The sequence below is a fragment of the Homo sapiens genome, chromosome 1, assembly GCF_000001405.40.
Source record: "Homo sapiens chromosome 1, GRCh38.p14 Primary Assembly".
NCBI classification, from domain to species: domain Eukaryota; kingdom Metazoa; phylum Chordata; class Mammalia; order Primates; family Hominidae; genus Homo; species Homo sapiens.
This window is the reverse complement of record NC_000001.11, coordinates 13132347-13139784: the sequence shown is the minus strand read 5'-3', so window position 1 is coordinate 13139784 and position 7438 is coordinate 13132347.

Sequence of the window (7438 nt, the reverse complement as noted above, 5' to 3'; positions counted from 1 at the left end):
TGTTCTCTCTCTACACTTTGTCTCTGTGTCTTATTTCTTTTCTCAGTCTCTCACCCCACTTGATGAGGTATACCCACAGGTGTGGAGGGGCTGGCCCCCTTCCTTTAGGGGCAGCAGGATTCTGCCACATCTGGATTCCAAATTTTTCAGTGATGGCTAAGACATTATATGAAGCCACAAAATCGGAGAAAAAGAGCCCCTCCTTTGGGAAACTAATCAGGAAATAGCATTCAAACAGCTCAAGGAAGCTTTAGGTCAGGCCCAACCTTAGGACTACCAGATATAATTAAGCCTCTCTTTCTATGTATTCATGAATGAAAAGGAATGGTTATAGGGGTTCTGACTCAAATTATAGCATCATGGCATTGCCCAGTGGCGTATTTATACAAACAACTGGACTCTGTGGTGCTAGGATGGTCTCCTTGCCTTAAGGCATTAGCTGCCACCATCTTGTTAACACAAGAAGCTAGCAAATTAACTCTGGGACAGCAGCTAACTGTGCGGGTGCCACACTCAGTTATAACTTTGATGGACCAAAGAGGGCATCTTTGGTTATCAAACCCAAAAATGACTCAGGTCTTCCTTGTGAGAACCCTTACATTATTTTAGAAACAGTGAACACCTTAAACCTGGCTCCTCTGCTCCCAGTCTAACCGGGGGCTCCCCTCCATGACTGTGTTGCAACAGTAGATGAGGTGTTCTCCAGTCGGAAAGATCTTGCAGACAGACCTCAGAGACCCGGCTTTTGAATACTTCACAGATGGAAGTAGTTTTGTGCTAGAAGGGGTTCAAGATGCCAGGTATGCAGTAATAACATTGGACTTAGTAGTAGATGCTCTGCCTCTGCCTACTGGAACATGAGCTCAAAAGGCAGAATTAATAGCCCTGACAAGAGCACTGTTTCTAGCAAAAGAGAAGAAGGTCAATATTTACACTGATTCTAAGTATGCTTTTACTACATTGCATGTACATGAAGTTATAGACAAAGAGAAAGGGCTTTTAACAGCTGGAGGCAAAGAAATCAAGTACAAAGAAGAGATTCTACAGCTCTTAGAGGCTGTATGGCCTCCAGGAAAAGTAGCTTTAATGCACTGCAGATGGCACCAAAAGTCAGGGACACCAAAAACCAAAAGAAACAGAAAGGCAGACAGAGAGGCAAAGAGGGGAGCAATGATTGCATCACATTTTAAAGAGGAAGCCTTAGCTATGCTTCTCCTCCCAGAAGCTCCTCTCCAAGAAGATCCAAGTTCTACTCCAAATGAAAGAGCCTGGTTTGCTCAAGAAGCTGGAAAATATATTAAAGGAGGGTGGTGGAAATTCTTCAATGGGACATTAGCCATTCCAGAAATGTTAGCTCCTACGTTTCTGAAGCAAATTTATCTAGGAACTCATATGGGAAAAAATGGCACTGGAAACATTACTGAAATGCTGTTTCTATGTGCCGTGGCCATCATTTGAGCTGTTTGTAAACAATGTTTAACCTGTGCTCAGAACAACCCGTGACAGGGGCCCACTCAACCCCCAAGAATTCAGGAAGTAGGAACCATGCCTTGTGAAAACTTTCTTGTAGACTTTACCAAACTACCCCATGCCGGAGGCTATCAGTATATGCTGGTGCTTATTTACACCTTTTCAGGATGGGTTGAAGCTTTCCCCACCAGAACAGAAAAAGCATGAGAAGTGACTAAAGTACTGCTAAGAGACATCATCCCCAGGCTTGGACTGCCTCTAACTTTAGGGTCCGTTAATTGCACGGCATTTGTAGCTGAAATAGTGCAAGATTTAACAAGACTGTTAAAAATAAAATGGAAGTTACACACAGCCTATCAGCCGCAAAGTTCAGAAAAAGTGGAATGCATGAACCAGACACTCAAGGAGCTTCTGAAGAAATATTTCCAGGAAACCTATCTGAGATGGGATCAGGTCTTGCCTATGGTCCTCCTCTGAGTCAGGTGCACCCTCACCAAACAAACTGGGTATTTGCCCTATGAGATTTTGTTCAGTCAGCCTCCCCCAATCATAAGTCAAATTAAAGGTTATCTCCTTGAACTAAGAGAATTAACCTTAAGAAAGCAAATGCAGGCATTAGGGACAGACTTGCAAAGTGTCCATGGGTGGGTACAGGAAAGAATGCCTGTAAGCCTGACAGACCAGACACACCCCTTTAAACCTAGTGACTCTGAGTTAAAAAGTTGAATTAAATTCTCTAGGACCCATATGGGATGGGCCCTATACTGTAACCTTTTTTTTTTTTTTTTTTTTTTTTTTTGTTGATGCAGAGTCTTGCTCTGTCCCCCAGGCTGGAGTGCAGTGGTATGATCTCAGCTCACTGCAAGCTCTGCCTCCTGGGGGTCGCACCATTCTCTTGCCTCAGCCTCCCAGGTAGCTGGGACTACAGGTGCCCACCACCATGCGTGGGTAATTTTTGTATTTTTTTTTTTAATAGAGATGAGGTTTCACCGTGTTAGCCAGGATGCTCTCCATCTCCCAACCTCGTGATCCACCCGCCTCGGGCTCTGAAAGTGCTGGGATTACAGGCATGAGCCAACACACCCAGCCCTATACTGTAATCTTGTGTACTCCCTCTGCTGTTAAAGTTGCAGGTGTTGTGCCTTGGATCCACCACAGCTGGCTGAAACCGAAGCTCAGGACAAGTGGACCAGCCAGCAGGACCCAGATCACCCACCTGATCCTGAGATGAGACACAGCTGATCCTGAGATGAGACCAAGCTGATGCTAAAGATGACTGCCCTGCTCTGGTCACTCCAGAAGCTGACCAGTCTACGTACAGCTGAAGGTTGAGGAGACAACAAGCCCTGCTCTAGTCACACACTGGAAGCTGACTAGTCTACGCACGGCCGAAGCTTGAGGACTCATCAAGCAAATAAACATAGTTAGAAATCTTAGGACTAGTAGTTTTCCTTGTAATACTGTTTTCCTATTGTTCACTGAAACCTCTGCTTCCTCAGTTCAAGCAATTCTCCTGCCTCAGCCTCCCAAGTAGCTGGGACTACAGGCACAACACCACACCCAGCTAATTTTTCTATTTTTACTAGAGATGAGGTTTCACCATATTGGCCAGGCTGGTCTCAAATTCCTAACCTCATGATCCACATGCCTCAGCCTCCCAAAGTCCTGGGATTACAGGTGTGAGCCACTGCGCCCAGCTGTCCTGCTTCTTTCTCAGTGGGGATCTGCTCCCCACACATTCTCCTCTGTGTTCCTCAGACCACGAATATCTCTGAGGTCCATCAGTGTGAGGTCTCTTGCAGGTGCCATTCCTTCCTTTCTCTCAGGACTTTTTTTATTGGTGTGTCTCTGTGCCATAAGGAATGTGTGCCTGTGAAGAACAGGCTAGACTCTGCAGCAGGACACAGAGGCCCTGGAGAGGCAGACAGTGGAGCAAGCAGGGGCTGAAGTTACCTCGTTTTTACCCAAAGGAGGCTCCTAACCACTGTCGCCACTGACACAGTGGCTCCAATAAAAAGAAAATAGGGGATGACTCCACACATTTCCTTGAGCAGCTAGAAAAAAAAATCCCTGTTGATATTCATATTAGTACAGTACTTTTGGTAGTGTTAGCACTTGTATTAGTAGTAGTACTAGTATTAGTGTCAATACCTACATTAGTATTAGTAGTGGTCTTGTTTAGCTGATGAAAGCTTGTTTCTCTCTCCTTCTGGGATAAAAACTCAAGACACCCTGGGGATCTCGAGTGCATGGACCAGGGAGTCTGAAGGAGTTTGTTCTTTGGATGTGAACCCATGGGAAGTGGGTGTGTATTCTGTGGCCAAAGTCGCTGACCTCTTTGATTAGAGGAGACACAGGGGGCTAGCACCCACCCCCAGGCCTGTGCTTCCAGGAACACTTCTCTCTCTTTCCATGTGTGTGCCTGAGAGGGTTCCTGGTCCTCACCCATCCCCATTGGCTCTTCTACAGGTGATGTGTCTACTGTACACCTACAGGTGACCTTGTGTAGAAAGAAATCCAAGAACACACATGGGGCCACATAGAGTGAGACTGCCTCCAGGCAGGCACAGGGACCCCGAGCTTCTGAGGCACTGTGAGCGCCTGAGACTGGGGCACTCTCATGGAGACAAATGCATGGGGCTTTAGAAAAGGCTGGGTTGGAGGGAGCAGAGGAGGGCATGGATGGAATGCAGGGGTCCCTGGAAGCTTCAGGCCAGAGGCACTTGGGAGTGGGGAAGGCATCATGGAGAAAAAGGTCAGGGCTCCTTCCATGCCCTGAGGTCACAGCGGGTCTCCCTCTCTCCCAGCTTCTCCCTGGGCTCTTGTGTCTGGGAGTCAGGGCTGGCTCAGCTGGGGTTCTTTGGTGAGTGGGAAGGACATAGGGCACTCAGCGTCTCAAGTGCAAATTTTAACATAATCCTCAATGAGAGGTTTCGCCCAGTAGCCTCCTGTCCACAGATCCCATGTCTCCTTGCTGCACTCCTGAGGGGGTTGCCCAGCCAGGGACACGAGGCGTTTTACTTTTCCCTGCCAAGTGAAAAACCATGTTAATCTGTGAGGCCAGCTCTGTCCTGGAGAGTTGTCACTTTCTAGGTGCTCACACCACACACATGTATATATATATATATACACATACCATGAGGTCATTGACACTTACCAAGGGGGCGAACCAGGGATGTCAGGATCCACGGGGCCCCACCCAGGGGCTGCTGGGAAGGCACTTTTGTCCAAGGAGGTACCCCGGCCTGAACCTCCGCTGTTCCCTTTTTTTTTTCCTTCCACAGGTGCCTCTACCTCCCCTTTCAAGCCTTATCATCCTTTCTGGGCCTTCTTGCCCCATTGGGGTAAAACCGCGAGTGTGACATGCACCGTGGGTGAGCACCAGGGACGCCAGGATCACCAGGGCCCTGTGCAGGGTCTGCTGGGAGGGCACTTTCATCTGTGGGGGGACCCAGGCACCCCTTCTCTGCCTCGCCATTTTTTTTCTTCCACAGGTGTCTCTACCTCCCCTTTCTAGCCTTATCTTCCATCCTGGGACTTCTTACCACTTTGGGGTGCCCCCCATGGGTGTGACATGCACCTTGGGTGTGAATCAGGGATGGAACTAACCCCGGAGCCCTGTGCAAGTGCTGCTGGGAAGGCACTTTAGTCCATGTGGGGACACAGGCCCCCCTCCTCTGCCGCACGTATTTTTTACCTTCCACTAGTGCCTGTTGCTGCTTTGGGTTTCCCCCCAGTGGGAGGGACAGGCATCGTTGGGGCGAACCAGGGACACCAGTATCCCCAGGACCAAGCTCAGGAGCTGCTGGGAAGTCACTTTCATCCATGGGGGGACCCATGCCCACCTCCTCTGCCGTGCCGTTTTTTATTCCTTCCACAGGTGCTTCTACTTTAAGCTTCAAGCCTTCTCTTCCATTCTGGGCCTTCTTGATGCTTTGGGGTGCCTCCCGCAGGTGCAACACGCACTGTGGGTGTGAACCAGGGATGCCAGGATCCCCCGGGCCCTGTGCAGGGTCTGCTGGGAGGGCACTTTCATCCGTGGGTTGACCCAGGCCCCCCTTCTCGACTGCGCCATTTTTTTCCTTCCACAGGTGCCTCTACCTCCCCTTTCAAACCTTATCTTCCCTTCTGGGCTTTCTTGCCCCTTCCGGGTGCCCCCACCACCATGACAGGCAACGTGGGTGTGATCCAGGGATGCCAGAAATCCCGGGGACTCCGTAGGGGCTGCTGGGAAGGCACATTCTTCTGTGGGGGGACCCAAGCACCCCTCCTCTACGGTGCCCATTTTTTTCCTCCACAGGTGCCTCTACCTCCCCTTTCAAGTCTTGTCTTCCTTTCTGGGCTTGCTAGAAGCTTTGGGGTGCCCCCCATAGGTGCGATATGCAGCGTGGGTGTGAACCAGGGACGCCAGGATCCCCGGGGCCCAGTGCAGGGTCTGCTAGGAAGGGACTTTCGTCTGTGGGTGGACCCAGGCCCTCCATCTCAGCCCCACCATTTTTTTTTTTCCTTCCACAGGTTCCTCTACCTCCCCTTTCTAGCATTAACTGCCATTATGGGCCTTCTTGGAAGTGCTGGGAACTGCAGAACCACAAAAAGGGAATCACAGCCCTGGCTCAGGAAGCTCCCACGTCTGGGCTCCTGAAAAGAGTAGTAGCTCTTCTCTTTTTCTCTTCACCTACAACTTGGTGAGCAAGGGGCGTGTTTCAGCTTTGTTTGTGTTACTGCTTTTAGCCCCACCATTAGGCGGGTCTTGTCCTGCAACCAGGAAGAATGAAATATGCAGACAAGTGGAGAGTGAGCAAGATAAAGAGGACCTTTATTGAGCAATAGAATGGGGAAGGGGGGACCTCCTGGGCCCTCGAGAGCACTAGGGGACCTTGTTTGGTAACTGCAACCTGGGCAGCTTCAGTTGTGCCTTTGGAGCTACTGCCCTGCCAACTTGGGAGGACCAGGACTCCCTCTTGTCCCAGGATCCCATCAGCTCCAAAGTGTGCACAGCCTCAGCTTTGCCCTCTCTCTGTTTCCGTGCAGAGGTGACAGGTGAGATGCAGGTTCACAGCAGCTCTGGTCAACCCCACAGAAACAAATCTGAAGCTCCTGGGTCCGGTTTAATGAGCCCCAACTGCGCTCTGATCCAGGAGTTTGCAGGCTAACAGCACAAAGTGGGGAGTGAGGTCGAGGCTGTGGTGGAGACTGCGGACCTAGGGGCAAGTCCCGTTTAGCCGTGAGAGGGTATGGGTGGCACAGTTGGCTGCCTCAGGGACATGGGGCACAGGCCTGGCTGACAACCCAGCCAAGAGGTGGTGCCTTTAGGAGTGGATCGTGGTCCACAGGCCCAGCAATCGGAAGCATCAGGCTCTGTGTTCACCCCTCTTGGGGGCAGATCTTGGAAATGCAGCCTCAGGAAGATTCACACAGAACTCCTTTTTAGACCTAGGAACTTGATACTATTAGCAGGGTGGGCACACAGTTGATGCATAGCTGGCCAGGTCATTGAACTTGGTGCCATTTCTGCTTCCCAACTCGGGGCCCTGGAGCATGGCCCCAGCTCTGCCTTTGGAACCTGACAACCACACTTCATGTGCAAGCACGGCACCACCCCAAGCCCATCTTCTCCTCATGGCCCCTTTCTGCCTGTGCCTTTGTGCCCGACCGAGCTGCTCCCCACAGTCGAAAAAGTATGAAAAAACAGATGACTAAAGAGAAGTAAAGGATGGGTGCAGACCATTCGCACACCTGTAATCCCAGCACTTTGGGAGGCCAAGGTTGGCAGATCACTCAAAGCCAGGAACTCAAGACCAGCCTGGTGAACAGGGTAAAACCCTGTCTCTACGAAAAATACAAAAATTAGCAGGCTTGGTGGCACGTGCCTGTACTCCCAGCTACTTGAGTGGTTGAGGCACGAGAATCACTTGAGCCCCACAGGAAAGGATTCCAGTGATCCCAGATTGCACCACTACACTCCAGC